General features: G+C 39.3%; 1 long non-coding RNA gene across 1 annotated transcript in view; it reads right to left on the minus strand.

Moving 5' to 3' along the window:
- Positions 1-4,662: 4,662 nt before the first annotated feature.
- The window catches only part of LOC105378806 (uncharacterized), a 38,030-nt gene continuing 23,136 nt past the window's right edge, over positions 4,663-19,556 (minus strand). The window contains exon 3 of the long non-coding RNA XR_947521.3: positions 4,663-4,832. This is a non-coding gene — a long non-coding RNA (uncharacterized LOC105378806). The remainder of the gene's footprint in view (positions 4,833-19,556) is intronic.

Below are 19,556 nucleotides of genomic sequence, written 5' to 3' on the forward strand. Positions count from 1 at the left end.
GAAAAAGCCAATGTGCATGTCAAAGGCAGTCAGGCAAGAGAAATTCTATCTTACTTGGGGAATGGTCATCCTTTTTGTTCTATTCAGGCCTTCAACTGATTGAATGGGGTCCACCCACATTAGGGTGGGCAATCTCGTTTACTCAGTCTACCAATTTTAATTTTATCCAAATACATCCTCCAAGAAACACCCAGAATAATGTTTGACCAAATATCTGGGCACCCAAGGCCCAGTCAAGTTACCACATAAAATCAACCATCGTCACACCTTAGTATAAGTTCCACGACTATCCCTGCTTTTTAAATGAGAAACAGTGAGAGGTGCTGTAACTTCCTTGTCACATACAACTGGTAAACGGCAGAAACTTGTTGCGGGAAGTCAGGGACCCCAAATGGAGGGACCGGCTGAAGCCATGGTGGAAGAACATAAATTGTGAAGATTTCATGGACATTTATTAGATCTCCAAATTAATACTTTTATAATTTCTTACGCCTGTCTTTACTGTAATCTCTGAACATAAATTGTGAAGATTTCATGGACACTTATCACTTCCCCAGTCAATATGCTTGTGATTTCCTATGCCTGTCTTTACTTTAATCTCTTAATCCCACCATTTTCGTAAGCTGAGGAGGATGTATGTCGCCTCAGGACCCTGTGATGATTGCGTTAACTGCACAAATTGTTTGTAGAGCATGTGTGTTTGAACAATATGAAATCTGGGCACCTTGAAAAAAGAACAGGATAACAGCAACGTTCAGGGAAGAAGAGAGATAACCTTAAACTCTTACCGCCAGTGAGCTGGGTGGAACAGAGCCATATTTCTCTTCTTTCAAAAGCAAATGGGAGAAATATTGCTGAATTCTTTTTCTCAGCAAGGAACATCCCTGAGAAAGAGAATGCCTCCCTGAGGGTAGGCCTCTAAAATGGCCCCCTTGGGTGCGGCCATCTTCTATGGTCAAAACTGTAGGGATGAAATAAGCCCCAGTCTCCCATATCGCTCCCAGGCTTATTAGGATGAGAAAATTCCCACCTAATAAATTTTGGTCAGACTGGTTGTCTGCTCTCAAACCCTGTCTCCTGATAAGATGTTATCAATGACAATGCGTGCCAAAACTTCATTAGCAATTTTAGTTTCGCCCCAGTCCTGTGGTCCTGTGATCTCGCCCTACCTCCATTTGCCTTGTGATATATTCTATTACCTTGTGAAGCATGTGATCTCTGTGACCCACACCCTATTCGTACACTCCCTCCCCTTTGAAAATCACTAATAAAAACGTGCTGGTTTTGTGGCTTGTGGGGTGTCACGGAACCTACAGACATGTGATGTCTCCCCCGGACACCCAGCTTTAAAATTTCTCTCTTTTGTACTCTGTCCCTTTATTTCTCAAACCGGCCGATGCTTAGGGAAAATAGAAAAGAACCTACGTGAAATCGGGGGCAGGTTCCCCTGATAGAAACTCTGTTCCAACCCAGGTCTGACTGACCAAAGCACAGTGTTTAAAAAGAGCGTTTAGACAGAACTGGGGTTTTTGTGAGAATTACATTTTTTAAAAAATGAACCACGAAAGAATGTATCATTGTGATTGGCACACAAGCTCATTATAGCTAATATTATTATTAGCATTAAAAGCATTATTATTAATTTGTTAATATTATATAAACCTTTGTATCCTTAGAATAGTTGATAGTGAGAATGCCAAAATGGACCTTAAATGAAAATATATGTGACCAATATTTTGTTTGATCATTATTAATCTCTATTCTTTTTCTTGCTTTTGTGATATAAAGATAAAAAATTGTGAGTCACTGACAATTAATTCCTCCAACATATCTTCTTGTAAAGATAATATTACCTTTGGCAGAGATATATCTCATTCCTGCTGATGTCATTAGAAAATGACAAGGTCAACCAAAATGAGAAATTGACAGCGTTCTTCTCTTTCCAGTTTTTAATAAGTATTGTCAAAAGAAATAATAATCAGATTTGAACTTGTTTGTCCTTGAAGTGCCTTTTTCTAAAGGCCTCCTAGGAAATCTGTTGTAAGATCAAAAGCAGTTGGGAAAAAGTAAAAATCACTATGTACACTTCCTTACTCTATTCTATGTGATAGAAATAAAATACTTATTCACTGTCAGTGACCTGGGCACTAGGATATTTGCATTCTTTTTTCCTAGAGTGTAAAAGAATGTTGGTAAAGGGAGCTCTGATACATTAATAAGCCATATGTTCTAATGTGTAAATAAAATACAGACTTTTAGGGAATAAATGGTGTTTTCAGACCTTCAGCCTCCTTTTTAGAGCAAGACTTCAGGCAAAATTGTAAAATTAGTTATATATATATATATATATTTATATATATATATTTATATATATATTTATATATATATTTATATATATATTTATATATATATATTTATATATATATTTATATATATATATTTATATATATATTTATATATATATTTATATATATAAATATATATATATTTATATATATAAATATATATATATATTTCTTCTTCTTCTTCTTCTGCTATTGAGTCTCCTATATTCCGTCACCCTCAGGAACCAAAATCTTCATGTTCTTTCATCTTCACATTTTGTGTTCTCAGCAAAGGATGTGGTATCACCTTTGAGATACCATGACTTATAAGAATTATTGTATTCCTTCCACAAATCCCCTTTATAATTTAACAAGCTTTGTAATTTAAAAAGTCTTAATTTTAGGCATCAATGGGATTGAGGAGGCATTTGCTAAAATTAGAGAAAAGTTCCTGGAGTTGCTGAAATCACAACGTATAGAAAACAGGCTCTTTCTCTGCTTTTCCTAGACATTAAGGCCAGCCTGCTTGTTTCTCATTTTCTATCTAACACAGGCTCTCCATTTCAGCCACATGGATCACAGTACTAATCACCCTTACCTGATTTATATTAGTGGTTTCTTTATCTAGAAACCACTAGTACTGAAGAAGCTAGTAGTACAGAAGAAACTAGTGGATTCTTCTGTATCAATGCTATTGTCTTCACTCAAAATGCCTTCCACTCCTCTCTAGGGCAATCCATGACCCTTACCTCATCTGAGCCCAATTTAATCCAAATTCTCCTCTCTCTAACACAAACAGTTTAATCAAGAAATGAACCATCCTCCAAAGAAACAACTATAACAGAGTATAATGTAACATATACAACAGTAGCCATTTGTGCATGGGCTGGTGATAGATTCTTGTCCCAACCCCTAAAGAGCTTATCTTCTTATAAGGGATACAGAAAAAATAATATAGTGAGGAGGATTCAATAGGAGCAAATGGCCCAGGGTATAATAGGAACATAGAGGAGGGATACCCATGTGTGAGGGTGCATTGTTGTTGGTTGGGTAGCCCTTAGAAACTGCATTGTCTTGTTTCTCTAACTTTGCTAAGTAGCCAATGCATCATAGTTATAAAAGATAATATTTTATTCTAATAGGACCAATTAAAATATATGTCATAAACAATCTTTCCTGCAAAGGCAGTAGTGGTCAGATCCATGAGCTCCATTAGATCTTGTTATCTCTTACTCTCAGCATCTCACGCTTAATAACAAAGAGGCTGCTGGTTCATATGCATCCCAGCTTCCCACTCCCTGGTGTGCAAAGGTGCTCACTGAAGTGAAGTCCTCACAGCCATACCAACAAGCAGTGTTTGACATGTGGTTGCCTGCAGAAGCAGCCAGATGAAGGGTATTTAAATTTCTAAGGCACTAGGAGATTATAGAGAGCAATGATTAGGAATTGGCTTGCTTACTGGGCTCCGTGGCTCACTCCTGTAATCCCAGCCTGACCAACATGGAGAAACCCCATTTCTACTAAAAATACAAAATTAGCCAGGTGCGGTGGTGCATGCCTGTAATCCCAGCCACTCAGGAGGCTGAGGCAGGAGAATCACTTGAACCGGGAGGCAGAGGTTGTGGTGAGCTGAGATTGCGTCATTGCACTCCAGCCTAGGCAATAAGAGTAAGACTCCATCTTAAAAAAAAAAAAAAAAAAGAAGTGGCCTGCTTAGTTTTGAGTTTATCACTTACCAACAGTTTGACATGGGAAAGAGGATTAAACTCTTCATGGCTTGATTTTCTTATCTATAAAATGGATAGTACTACCTGATAGGATTGATATGAGAAGGAAATGAGATAAAGTTCTTCACATTGCACCTAACTTAGCATATTAGTTTCCTAAGCCTGCCGTAAAAAATCAGCATAACTAGGTGGTTTAAAACAACAGAAATTTGCCGGGCATGGTGACTCATGCCTATAATCCCAGCACTTTGGGAGGCCGAGGTGGGTGGATCACTTGAGGTCAGGAATTCTAGAACAGCCTGGCCAACATGGTGAAACCCTGTCTCTACTAAAAGTACAAAAATCAGCCGGGCGTGGTGGCGCATGCATGTAATCCCAGCTACTTGGGAGACTGAGGAGAGAGGATCGCTTGAACCCAGGAAGCAGAGGTTACAGTGAGCTCAGATTACACCACTGCACTCCAGCCTGGCTGACAGAGTAAGACTCCATCTCAAATAAATAATAATAATTTTAAAAACCCAGAAATTCATTGTCTCACAGTTCTAGAGGCTAGAATTCAGAAATCAGGCTGTCAGCAGGGCCATGCTTCCTCTGAAGGCTCTAGTGAAGAGTCTTTCCTTGCCTCTGTCAGCATCTGGTGGTTGCTGGCATTCCTACATTTGTGGACACATCTCTCCAACTTCTGTCTCTGTCATTATGTGGCTCTCCTTGTGTGTCTGTCAGTGGCTTCACATGGTCTTCTTTTAAAAACACCAGCTGCTTAGAGAAGACAAAGGATAACCTGGATAAAAAAACAAAAAGCACACTTAAGGATATACAAGGAAAGCACAAAACAGATTGTCTGGAATTGAAAACATAATTTACAAATGAAACATCAGTAGATGAAGAAAGAAGAACATAGTTCCTGTCTAGAGCTATGTACTGATCTGAGACATCAGATTTCTCAAGACACAGAGCAAATATTTACATTCAAAAAATGAAATCATGATGGAAAAGAGAACAGACTTAGAGAAAATATCTGTGGAGCCTAAAATGGAAAAAATAGAAATTCCAATTAAAGAAAAAGCAACAGATGGATGAGAGAGCTGAAAAAAGGCCTGACCACTGTTTGAAAGTGCATACTACATTTTAGGAAAGACTGAAAGGAAAAGACTTAACTAGGCATATCCTCATAAAATTCCTGAATTCCAGGATAAAGAGAAAACCTCACAAAATTCCAGGCAGAAAGAAAAAGTGGTTATGAAGGCAAAACAATCAGACTGTCTTTGAATTTCAGCAATACTTGAAGTGGTAGAATAACATCCACAGATGACTTAGAAAAAAGGACTAAAACCTATTATCCAATACAGAGGCAATATATAATTCATGGGTCATGCAAAAGGAAAAATGTTTTGGGCTATGCTCTACCTAAGGAAAATATGTGAGAAAGGACACCAAGCAAAGAAGTTGGAACAGAGACTTAAATATAAGGGAAGATGAAGAAGAGAGGAAACTATGTTTAGAAATAAGAAAGGAAGCTTAACTGAAGATATAAAAGAAGCCGTAGATACAATGATACAATATAGAGAATACTATGTGCAACTTTTTAACAATAAATTTGAATACCTAGAGGAAATAGATGTTTTCCTAGTAAAATGCAAATCAAAGTTGGCATAAGAAGAAATAGAGAACTTGATAGGTCAATTCATGTAGCAGACATTGAAAGTATAAAAAAGATCACTATTTAAGAAGGACAGCAGAATCAGAAAGTTTCTCAGCTGAATGTTATCTAACTTTTAAAAGAACAGTTAATTCTAGTGTTTTGTAAAACTATTTCATATATAGAAAAAGATGAGAAGTAGCCAGATTCATTTTATAAACCCAATTCATTTTATGAGTTCAGCATTAATATGTAAGGTTGACAAATAGTGAAAAAAAAGGAAATTATAGCCAACTCCAATTATGAATATAGAGGTTGCCAATATGAGGGTTAGGAAGAGAAGGATAAGGAACTTTGAGAGTATGAAATCCTGAAAATAATAGTAGTTTCTTTCTGCTCTTCATCAGTCAGAACTAGATTTGCTAGCGATATATGACAGAATAGCCAAAATTACAGTGGCTTAAATGTGACAATTTTAACTTTCCATTTCATAAAAAAAAAGTCAAGAGCCAGGTTGTCCATGGCTAATACACTGACTCTTCAAAGTTATCAGGAACCCAGGCATTGTCTAGCTCTTTTATCATCACTAGACTTCATTCTCCTAGTCCAAGGTGGCTGCTGGAGCTCCAACACTCACACCCATCTGCAGCAGCAGTATAGAGAAAGGGATACAGGAAAAAGTTACAAAAGGCACATACCAATTATATTTTAATGTGGGTTACCTGAAATTGCCAGTCAGCACTGCTGCTTATAGCTTACTGGTAAGAATTTAGTCTATTTGCTACATCTAGTTGCAAAGAATTCTGGGAGTATGTGTTCATTTGCTATTTTTAATCACCTTGGCCATATGCACCATTACAAATCAGAGATTCTGTGACATAGGAAGTGGGAGAGATCAGATATTGAAATCCAGAACTAGCTACCTCTGTTCCATGTTTCCTGGGACAAAAGCAACTCCCTGTCTGTAGGAGAGAAGTACCTTAAAGTAGGCAGTGTTGAAGAATGGCTTCCCTTCCATGTTGTTCCTTTAAGATGCCAATGCTCATAAAAAGGAGGTTGCCTCCCAACTCACATCCTAAATAGCATAGTCCAAAGGGCAATCCATCTCCACATAGATGCCAAAAAGGCATTTCAAACTGACATTTATAAAATAGAGCACTTACCTCTATTGGCACCCCTGCCCAAACCTATTTCTTCTCCAGTATCAGCTCTCATACAATACCATCACCTGGCCAAGTGCTCAAACCAAAAACATTGAAGTCATTTTTTATTCCACTCTTGTCTTCTCTACTCCCCTACCCCCTTACCTTCATTGCATTAGTTCTACCTCCAAAATCTAACCCAAGCCTACCCACTGCTCTCCATTACCACGAATTCCAACCCTCATCCAAGCAACCATCAACTCTTGCCTTGTTGCCGAAATATCCTACCTGGTCTCATTTCCAACCTCAGCAACTAATGATCTGTTCTCCACATTGGAGACTGAATGATATTTTTACAATCCTTTTTTATTTGATATTTAAAAATTAAAATGGTAATTTTATTTCATCAGATGAAACAACACAATCCAGATGTACATAAAGACAAATCTAGTCATCTTCCCTCTACCCACACCCCTCTGAGGTCACTTATTAACCCCCTGGCTTGTCTTTTTCCTCATCAATCTCTTTTTACACATGAACTTATACACACAAACAGATACATGGATTTTACTTATGTTTTCTGAAAAACAGTGCTCATTGTTCATCTTATTAGCTTGTATTTTTATTTTTTATGTACATTGTATCATAATGTACAATGTATCATAATGACATTTGAGGAGGGGGGTCTCTTATTTTCAACAGGGAGAGTTAAGCCTCTTTTAACTTGTATTTGCCCAGTTGGTATAGTCTGAGCTAAGTAAGTGGCTGAACTAGGAATTAGAAACCACTGGGCTAGCAGTCTGCCACATCATCTCTTAAGCAAGCTATAGGTAAATAGGAAAATGTCAACCACATTCAAATAACTTTTCTGAACCCGAGGGACATCCTTTAGAAATGCCACTGTATTTAAGCAGCTAACTTGTGTGCATGCTCATGGTTGTCTAAGTGCTCACCCTAAAGGTTGTGCCAACTTACATTCCCATCAGTATTTTGTGTTGCCCTTTTCCTGCCATCCCTGTTAAGTTTGGGTGAAAGTGATCTATCCCTTTTAATAAATTACTCTTGTTTAAAAAGATAAGGAGCTGAGGACTGCCTACCTCATTAGCGGAGTGCAGAGGAAACAGTTGAAGACATATTTTTAGACTGTCAGACTTCATCTTAGCAGTTTAATAAAACAACAACTGAAAAATCTACCTGCTGACATGACTTTCGTTCACAGTTGAGGTCGGGAAGCCATAACTGGTTTGAATAGATTTCTGTTTTATTTGAACAACTTGGTTATTCCATATTGGAATTCACTGGTAGGTCATATGCTGATAAACCATTTTACAAACTTTAAAAATGATTGCTGATCTAGATTAGAAAAGAAGTCGATTTGGAAATGCTATGAAAACCATCGGTGAGAAATACTCTGTGTCAGCTTTCAGATAAGCATGACTGTCCATGAGCTCCCTGGTCATTTAGGGAAGCTGAGCTATTGCCTATGAAGGTTTCTGTGCAGGGTCTATGGCGAAGTGAGCTGAAAGCTCTATATGGTTGAATGAACTGAAGAGCAGAATGTCCATTGGCTACATGTCCCAGGATCATCTGCAATGTCTGGGTTTCCACTTGGCCACACAGAAAATGGGTTGCTTATAAATTATTGTTTTAGTGTCAGCAAATAAAGTTATCATGAGTCATACTTTCTTTCCTTTTATACTGGATAGAATTTCACTTTTTAAAAGATCTTTGCATAGTGTATTTCTTAGTTGTTGTTTTTTTTCAGTGAATGCTGGAAGCTTAGAATTGAAACAGACTCCCTCTATTTAGCCTTTTTTTTTTTTTAACATTTCCAATTTCTTGTTGTATTTCATGAGAGTCCTAATATCCTAATCTAGTCACACTACAGTGGTTTTCATTTATAGGATAAAATTGCACCCACAGCATCAAATTAAACTTTTTAAATTAAATCAGTGGTTAAAAAATTAACCCTGTGAACAATAAACATGTATATTTTCTATATATATATATAAAATAACTAACATGTATTTAAAAAATTATAGTTTGCAATGCCTCTCTATGCATATTTTAATCAACCCTTATGCCAATTCTGTGAAGTTGGTGTTGTTGTCCTCCCTATTTTGCAAATAAGAGTTGGGTTACAGGAAGAATAAGTGACTTGCCCAAGTCACACACCAATAACTGGTGGAAGTAGAACTCATACCCATTTTTTCAGATTCTAAGTCCTATAGCTTGTCTCCTCCTTAGAAGTAGCGGTATTGATTCATTCACTATTTATTTACTCAAAAATGTTTAACAAACTTAACAAAAACAGTGTGGGCACTGAGTTGGCTCTTAAAACACAGGAAATAATAGGACACAGTCCCTGCTTTGATGAGCTTGTAGTCAAATAGGGGAAGGCAGTCAAGTAAACAGGAAGTGACAACACAGGATGGTCCATGCTTTGTTAGGGAAACTACAGGGAATAATGGGAGCCGTAGAGAGGCACCTAACACAGTGGGGCAGAGGGAATGATGGGGTGGTCAGCAAAAGCTTTCTGGAAGAGGTGATGTCTAAGATGAGACAATAGATAAGAACTTGTGGTGCAAAATGGAGAAGAATATTCTGGGCTGATTGAGCAGCATGTGCAAAAGCCCTGAGGCAGGACAAATCATGCTTTGGAAGGGAAGTGCTTAATAGGTCAGCATGACTCAAATGCCGAGTGAGGATGAGAGTCATAAGACAGTTAAGGGAAAGCTGAGCAAGCTGGGCCTTGAGACGATGTTAAGGAAAGCCCTTGCAGATCTGCAAGCTGGAGAGTAATGTGTTGGCTATACTAACTTGTATTAGTCTGCTCAGGCTACCATGACAAAATACCATAGGCTGAGTGGCTTAAACAACAGAAGTTTATTTTCTCACAGTTCTGGAGGTTAGAAGTCTAAGATCAAAGTGCCATCAGGTTTGGGATCTGGTGTTGCAGCTCTTCCTAGCATGTATATTGCCACTGTCTCACTATCCTCACATGATCTTTTCTTTGTGTGTGTGCACAGAGAGATCTCTGAGAGCTCTTCCTTTTCTTATAAGGACCCCCATCCTATCTGTTTATGGATCCAGCCTTATGTTCTCATTTAATCTTAATTACCTTCATGAAGGCCCTATTCTAAATACAGTCACATTGAGGGTTAGGGCTTCAACAAATAAATTGTAGGGATCAAAATCCAGTGTATAGCACTACTTGAAGAAGGCTACTCTGGCATGAATTTGCAATGAATGGGAGAGGAAGTGAGACTAGAGTAAGGGAAGGCAGATAGGAGATGATAGTAATAAAAGAGGTGATGGATGACAGTGGCCTGTACTGATGCCCGGTAACTACATCTCATCACCCAAGTATCTGTGGCAATTTCATTTGGTGAACAAAAGGCAAACCTGCCTGAGCACTGTCTAAGGCTAGCAATGCGAAAAAAGGACTCCAGGCTCCTAAACTACCCCAACAACAACCACAGAGCCCCCAGTAATGCAAATTTTTCTCAGTTGGCTGCCAGGTAATTTGCCACATCTTTGAATTGGTTTATAGTTTACCTTCTCCAGATACACAGAAACTTCTTCCTTGATGATATTTTTTCCCTGCTTAGTCAAAAGCATGCAACTGACATGCAGTAGACATCATAGCCATTCTGACTGGTATATGTGATAGAGTTGTAGTTATCTGAGAATTAGACAGATACTGATTCATGTCATGTTTCATGTATTAGATTCTCATCTAATCAAAACATTGCAAAAACATCATCTCCTAAATATGAAATTACTCAGTGAATAAATCATAACAGGAAGCTTTCAGGCAAGCCATATTTAGGAAATGAAATTTAAGTAGGAGAAATTACAAAAGGGATAGGGCAAACAATTGCAGTTCTGAAAATAATCATTTACACTCTCCTAGTACTTGGTGTTGGAGAAGCAATGTGGCTAATAGAAGAGAAATGCAAATTGAGAGAGTCTACTCAATTAAGCAGGATATCATCCCCTGCGATTTACAAAAAATAAAATCTAACCTCCTTAGCATGGCATACGAAGCCTTTCAGGGTCTTTCCTCACCAGGTTGTTCTGCCTTGTATTCTTTCCTCACATGTTTCCCCTTCCTGGTATATCCTTTCCTTGTTTGCCTATTGGTCAAATTCATGTTTACTTCACAAGTTTTTGCTTAAGCATGACTTCCTCTCTGACAGCTTTTCCATCTTCTGTGCTTTACCACCCACTACATTAAGTTCTCTTTCCCTGCATTTCTATTGTACCCTGTTACGCTTCCATTGCAGTACATTATGAATGCACATACAGTTAATCCTTATTATTCACAGATTCCATATTTGTGAATTTTCCTACTTGCTAAAATTTATTTGTAACCCCTAAATTGATACTTGCATCACTTTCCTAGTCATTTGTAGACACACGTATGCATAATGGCAAAAATTTTATGTCACCTGACACACATTCCCAGCTGAGATCAAATTAAGGGACACTCTGTTTTCTTCCTTTAGCTCTCATACTATGAACATATATCTATTTTGTGGTCTGTTTGGCGCCATATTGTCACATTTTTGTGCTTTTCATTGGTGATTTCCCCATCTAGAATGGCCCCCAAGGATAGTGCTGAAGTGCTGGCTAGTGCGCCTAACCGCAAAAAGTCTCTGATGTGTCTTAAAAAGAACATGTGTGTTAGGTAAGCTTCACTTAGGCACGAAGTCTAATGCTGTTGGCTAGCATTGTATTCAATGTCAGTGAATCAAAAATATGTATTAAATAAGGTATCTTTAAACAGAATGCCACATAAAACAAGGTTACATACTGATCAGTGGACAAAACAAATTTTGTGACCAGAGGTTCACAGGAACTTAACCCCATGTTTCCCCTTGGAGCAGTGGTTCAATATTTGATAATTTAGCATTTGGAATGACTTTATAGAATATGATTCTCATGAATAATGAGAATAAACTATATTCATATATTTGTGTACCTATAAAATTCCTTGAGAAATGAAACTATCACCTTTGTGTACCTAACACTAGCATTATGGTTAATATAAGCACATGGTTGGTGCTTGATATTCTTGACAATAATACCAAGGGATATTTCAAACACTGATTTCATTGGCCATTACAGGTTCTTCCTTATGCCAGTCCACCAAGAATACCTGCTTAAAGGCCAGGTAATTACAAGTCCCTTTTAAATATTAGCTTGGGCATAAGCTCCTAAGAAATTGTTAATGGTCTTAAACCTTTATTGATTTAAAGGGATTGTGGCATTACTGAGTTGGGAGTTATGTAACTCTAGGAAAAGTCAAGACATTATCTAGTATACACAGACAGAAAGAGGCTACTTAAAACAGATTTGCTAAAGCAGTGGGTTTCAATGGTAGGGCCTAGGAATTTGTATTTTTAACAAGGACCCTAGTGATTCATATGTAAGATGTTAACAAAACACCATGAGAAACAGTGCTATCAGGTGTTCCTTACCTAGTTGTCTTCTTTGGGGATACCCAAAGCGATCTTTTTTTTTTTTTTTTTGAGATGGAGTCTCACTCTGTCGCCCAGGCTGGAGTGCAGTGGCTCGATCTCAGCTCACTGCAAGCTCCACCTCCCGGGTTCACGCCATTTTCCTGTCTCAGCCTCCCGAGTAGCTGGGACTACAGGCACCCGCCACCGCACCTGGCTAATTTTTTGTATTTTTAATAGAGACGGGGTTTCACGGTGTTAGCCAGGATGGTCTCAATCTCCTGACCTCGTGATCCGCCCGCCTCGGCCTCCTAAAGTGCTGGGATTACAGGCGTGAGCCACTGTGCCTGGCCAGGGATCTTTAACTCTGGTAATTTTTCAGAGAACTAAAGCATTTTTGTGATTCCATAAATTTTAAATATTTTACCATCTCTGTGCATTTACAAATAACTCTACTGGGTCTATTTCATCTCTTTTTCACTAAGGAGCAAGTGGTAATCAGTTTGACTAAGAGTTCAGATTAATTCTACGATGTCTTTTAGTGTATTTCACTGCTCTTGGCCCATGCAGTCCACTCTGAGCTGGGATATTAGCTTCAAATTTGGGTGCTCTCTTAAGGCTAAGTTTTAGGGTAGCATCAGGATAGGCTAGGTTACACTGTGGTAACAAGCAACCCCAAAACTCTCTGTGTTTGAAAGATGAAAGTTTATTTTTTTCTAATACTACATGCTTAACTTGTGATGGCAGGGACAATGCTCATTAATGCTCATTCAGGCACCCAGGATGATGGAAGCATTATCATTTTACAACATTTCTATTTCAACATGAGGGTTCAGGGTTTGCTGTGACAGTGGAAATAAGCATGGAGGATAATGAGCTGGATCTTAAATGCACCTGCTCAGTAGTGGCACATCATTTCTGTTCTCATTCCATTGGCCAAAGCAAGCCACTGGCTATGCCTAATTCCAAGAGAACAGAGAAGTATAATCCACAGTATTCCCAAAAGGAGAGAAGAGAAATATTGGGGAATATTTGTAATTCCTACCATAATCTAATAACTAAATACTAGATTCACCTTTTCCCCCACATCCAGAATACACTCCTTACCCTTGCTCCCTGCAAGAGAGAGAACTCCAAATCCCCATGAAACACTATGAACTAAAAAGAGGTACCTCTCCCTCTCTCCCTACCTTTCCTATAGACTAGGACAGGATAATGTCAATAAATGTTCACATTCTGTGAGAGGAAGAATGGTAGACACATAACAGTAACTGGTCTGGAGCAATTCTGAAAACTCACTAGGCATGTGTTGATTTCCTACATTGGAGGTAGAGAATATTCCCTGATTTAACTCCATTCAGATCTCTAGGAGAGTCTCCCAGTCCATTAATCCCCACAGCCCTTGGCTTGGTCCTCTAGGACGTACTTTCTTCTCTATTATCATCCTTGGCCATGAAGTGTGCTTTGAGTGATGCTGCCATCTCAATATGGGTCTTCGGGCTTTGCTGTGTCAGGAGAAGTGAAGAATCATACTCTGAATTTTAAATGCTTCTGCAATAAAGTGTATTATGTCATTTTGTTGGCCAAAAACAGATGAAAACTAACTGAAATGGGTATGGGTAGCGTCATGTAATCCTCCCATGTGCTCAGGAGAGAAGAACTCAAATACATTGGTGAGCCTTGGTATTGTTTACCACACTTAGTTTCTGTTTATGCACTTACTTGCTTAAAGAGCAGAGTTCCAGCAGACAGACTAGGGCTCAGGGCTGGCTTGGCTATTTACTTTCCCTGAGAACTTAAATAAATTACTAACCTGTTAAATAAACCTCAGTTTCCTTATCTATAAAATAGAGATTATTAAGAGTACCTTCCTCCATGGGTGGCTCCAAGGATAAATGCACGTCAAGTATATAGCAAAGTGTGTGGCAAAGTAAATTCTCTCAAATGTTAGCTGTGGTGTTTACTACCCTCCTGATCACAACATTCTGTGCTGGAAAATTCTGGAAACTACATTCTTCTCACAGAATAGGTGTTCTCTGCTGTGGGGTCTATAATCTACCCCCTGCTCCCACTGGATTATTGTTGAGTGTGATGGAATAATGAAGAGGGATTTTCGTTGTTGTTGTTGTTGTTTGTTTGTTTGTTTTTCTAAGACAGAGTCTCACTTTGTAGCCCAGACTGAAGTGCAGTGGTGTGATCTGGACTCATTGCAACCTCCACCTCCTTGGTTCAAGCAATCCTCCTGCCTCAGCCTCCTGAGAAGCTGGGATTACAGGTGCCCACCCCTACACCTGGCTAATTTTTGTATTTTTAGTAGAGATGTGGTTTCACCATGTTGTTCAGGCTGGTCTCAAGCTCCTAACCTCAACTGATCTGCCAGCCTCAACCTCCCAAACTGCTGGGATTACAGGCATGATGAAGAGGCATTTTATGAGTCTTTTGTTTGGCAGGGCTTCTTTCTGCAAGCCCCCATTTTTGTAGCACCATGACACTTGCTGCACAGCATCGTTAATCATCTTCTGGCACAGTAGTTAGGGAAATTTTATTTATTCACTTCATGCCCAGCATGGGGAGGGCCAACGACTCCCTTTAAGACCATGCATTTCATTGCTTGAGTCATTGAACACAATAGGACAATATACAAAGATTTCTGAGAAAACTGAATTTCAGCAAATTCAGGATAAATTATAGGAAATCAATGAATGATAACACCGTGAGGTTAAAAAGTACTCTCTTAAAAACATGTCCTTTGAGCCTTCTGGGTACTACTAATGACATCTTTTTTTTTAATATCTTGAAGCAAGATTTCATAATAAAGAATGTTGTCTAATTCCTCTGCACCAATGGAAAAACACCTTCCTGACTCCCACAAAGCATTTGGGAAACCCATGATGTATAGGGCATTATAATTATCACTTGGAATATGAAAATGTGGGAGATTGCTTCTTGTCCTCAAGGAATTTCCAATCCAGTGGGAAGAATATAGATGGGTGAGCTGAAAATTCCATACAATGTGTTAAATACTCCAACCAAAGATTAAACAACATGAAATGGATTCTCAAACAAAAAAACAGCTTAGGTCTACCTAACTTAGGTTTACCTGCAGTGTTAAGATTTAGTTTAGTTGCCATGGCATGTGGGCTGAATTGATCATCAAAATGCAGTTGGTAATTTTGTACTGCGACGTATCTATACAGCTAAATCATGTTCAATTTATTATCTTGGGATAATAAACCAAACAGAGTTTTGGATCCTATGAGATCTTCCTTGGCCTTATTACATTTTATAACAGCAGGATAGCCTGTTACATTCATTTTGTTTGTTTATTTTTCTCCTGGCCTTGTTTGTAAAGAACTGTATATAAAATAAAATACTCCATTGATTTATACATTGGCATCTGGCCATCCATAATCAAAGACTATTCATAACCTCACCTTTCTAGTGTCACTTCCTCAGGAAACTCAGAGATAGATTGATGAATATTATCTATCAATTTGCCTTTCTTTTCATTGGAAATATAGAAATATATATTATTTTGGCATGCTGAATTTGACCTTTTCCACACCAGTGTTTTATCTGCCTGGGACAAAGGGCGTAAAAGTCAGTAAAAAGCAGGTCAGAGGAGAAGACTACCGATGAGAAAGAAAGCTTGATTCAGAAGGGCAGTAGTGGCATTCACAGTGTTTTTGAAGTACTTAAGATATTGTACTTTCTCAAGAGAAACTGTCTTCAACAAGTAAAGAAGAATGTCAGGAAATTGTATGGCTCTTGGAAATAGCTCTCCATCAAAGAGTGATGAGAGAGCTTTCTGAAAGCATGAAGCTTATGGAGTGGGGAGCCTAGGTAATACCTAGACTGTCATCTCACAGACTTTCTGAGAGTTTGGTCATTATCTCAAAATTGATAAAAGATCGTTAAATAAGGAATTAAACACAAATGTGGGCTACAGTCCAGCTGTCAAAAAGTAAGACAAATCTGACACCAGTGTCTAGTTAGACAAATGCGTAAACTAGCCCGGCTAGCCTAGGCAGAGCAGCCACATAGGGCTGTGGGGGTTGTCAGGTGCACAGCAGCACCGCACTGAAGGGAATGTTATCCACATCACAGACCTGTGCATTTATTATTTTGGGGCAGATGGCAGTAAAGTGTCTCACTCTAATAAATCCATATGCTAGAACAATGTCCTCACAGGTGTCTCATGGAGGAGACTCCTTTTCTAATTTGCACCGAGCAGTGTGTGGAGTAGCAGCACCCTGGCTCCTGCTCAAAAATAATGAGTTCAGACATTCCTCAGCATTTTTTAGTGTTTGAGTCCATTCTGGCAGGATCGTGTCACCAAAACTCATTCGTTCATTTGGCAAACAACTAATTGAACATCTGCCGCATGCCAGCTACTGTTGCGGGCACTTGGACACAAGGGAGAAGAAAACAGACAAAACTTCCTGTCCTTAGAAATCTTTCCCTCCAAAGTGAACTTTGAACTGAGGAGTAGGAGTAACAGAGGACATGGAAAGAGTGGTGCAGAGGACCACGATCAGGCTTTTAGGACAAAAGATCCTGCGTTTATTCCCAGCTCCAGAATGGTATGGCCTTGGGCAATTTGACTCTTAGACTATTTCTCTACAGAAAGGTTAATAATACTTTCCTCATTGGGCTTGTTGGAAAAGTTAAAGATAAGATTCCCGAAAAACTCTTTTCATGTGGAGCTTATGATGCAGAAAGTATACAATTGATGGTAATAATAGTTATTGTTGTAATTATTATCTAAGTGAGGATACTATCATGGACAATCCAATTCTGAAACTACTCCTGGACAGCAACATCTGCTAACTGAGGCTGCCCCGAAATGGAGGGAGGGTGTTAGAACTGGAAGTTTTATTTTATTCTGTGTAAAACTTGGTCTCTAAACCTCACTGAAGAAATCTAGGATAGCAAAAACAGGACAGACCTCATGACCTATGTGAGAAAAAAAGACTTAAAGAAATTTAAGACCCTAATAATCTCTATGGGAAATGGGTGTTGAAATGAGATTCATCTGAGATGGCAAAGCCATGCTTAGTTATGTTTCTATGTGTTTCCAGAGGGCATGAGTTTGATAGGAAAGAGAGATTCAATCAGGAGGCTGTCGCAGGTCAGCTCCAGGAGGCCAACTCTGAGACAGGGATTTGCATGCAGGAGGATTGTTGAATGTGCTACTAGGTTCAACAACTGTAGGAAGCAAGGAAAGCAGGATTGGGCAGAAGGGGAAATTAAACTGCGATGTATTGAAAGAGGCCTCACCTGAACTTATAGGAGCTCTGAAGCTGGTGGCTCTTCAGACTTAGCTAGAATTGGAAAGAGGGGGCCAGACTTTTATTCTCATTTGCCATCATTGAACTGTTAGTGCATGTAGTGTGTCCTTGAGGAGAGTGACCTTGAATGAAGTGACTCTTCGGAGGAAGGCAAATCCCACTGAGGGACTCAGCTGAGAGCTGCCAGCTGCCAACACACCCAGCAGCAGGGAAACAAATGCTGCAATCCTGGAGGGAAAGAGCTGAGCAGAGCATCTACACAGAGGTGAAGTCCACCTCCTGGGCAAACCCATCCATAAAGAATCCTGCAGACAGATGAGTTGGCGGCACTTCCTAATCTTATCCTCTTTGCGGCATATCAAAAATAATAATATGTGTACGGTGCATTGGGGTAAAAAATTAGGCTGCTTGTGGTCAGAAGGGACAGGCTCAGGGACTTCAGCTGCCTGCCACATGGCAACCAGACAGCCCTGAGGACTGAGGGGATCAAGGTTTCAGCAAACTCATTTAAATAACTTGAGCCTATGCACACTGCTTGGGAGGTGGTGAATTAAGGTCTTAAGGACAGGTTTTAGTGGGTGCAAAGATTATAGGAATCTTTTGGGAAAGGCATGTGGTCACTAGTGTATAAGAAGTAGACATAATTCCTCCTGTCACATTTGTGTAAGGTTCACTCTTTGAGTACTTTAATTGTTACAAAATCAAAGGCTAGGCTCCAACTAATGATGTCTTCACTTTGAATCTCCTCACCCCCAACAAAGGGTTTGAGACCCATGAAACCTCCCTGGGTCCAGAGACATGGATTTAGTTTCTCTGGGGCTGCCAATTACTTCAGAACCCAGAATTCAGTTCATTATTATGTAGCCTAATTGAGGTGCCCCTAAAATACATTATTGATTCTTTTCTCTTTTTTTTTTCCATCTGTGCTGCTCATTACAAAATGATGAAAGGTGGAGAGCTCTGCTATGTGCTATGGCTCATGGTCTCTGTCTGACTGCTGTTGTCCATCACATATATGCAAGCCAATGCCCTGTTGACAATTCTGTTATTAAGCAACATGTCACACATTACAGCCTAGGATTGAAAATGTGTTTTGTTTGGCCCTTGTATTAGGCCAATATTATGTTCTATAAAGAAATACCTGAGGCTGGGTAATTTATAAAGAAAATAGGCTTAACTGGCTTGTAGTTCTTCAGGCTGTATAAGCACAGCACCAACATCTGCTTGGCTTCTAGTGAGGGCCTCAGGAAGCTTACAATCATGGCAGATAGTGAAGTGGGATCAAGCATGTCACATGGCAAGACTGGAAGCAAGAGAGAGGAGAGGTTCTACATACTTTTAAACAATCAGATCTTGCATGAACTCACTCATCACCACGGGGATGACACTAGCCATTTATGAAGGATCCACCCCCCTGATCCAAACGTCTCCTACCAGGCCCCACCTCCAACACTGGAGATTACATTTCAACATGAGATTTGGAGGAAACAAATATCCTAAGCATATCAGCCCTCATAGTGTTAGTTCATAACAGTATATATTTTTTAAATGTTAGTTTCCAGCTTAAAAAGAAATTGAGAGATTTATGAAACACTCAAAGGATCTGGAAAGGCTAGGCTCTGATTTGTTCCCATGTGACAAAAATTGATCCAAGCCAACTTATGGCTATACCTTTTTTTTTTTTTTTGAGAGGGAGTCTTGCTCTGTCACCCAAGCTGGAATGCAGCGGCACGACCTCAGCTCACCACAACCTCCACCTCCCGGGTTCAAGCAATTCTCCTGCCTCAGCCTCCCAAGTAGCTGGGATTACAGGTGCGTGCCATCACACCTGGCTAATTTTTGTATTTTTAATAGAAACGAGGTTTCACCATGTTGGCCAGGCTGGTCTCGAACTCCTGACCTAAGGTGATCCACCTGCCTTGGCCTCCCAAAGTGCTGGGATTACAGGTATGAGCCACCATGCCCTGC

Source organism: Homo sapiens, chromosome 1, assembly GCF_000001405.40.
Source record: "Homo sapiens chromosome 1, GRCh38.p14 Primary Assembly".
Lineage (NCBI taxonomy): Eukaryota > Metazoa > Chordata > Mammalia > Primates > Hominidae > Homo > Homo sapiens.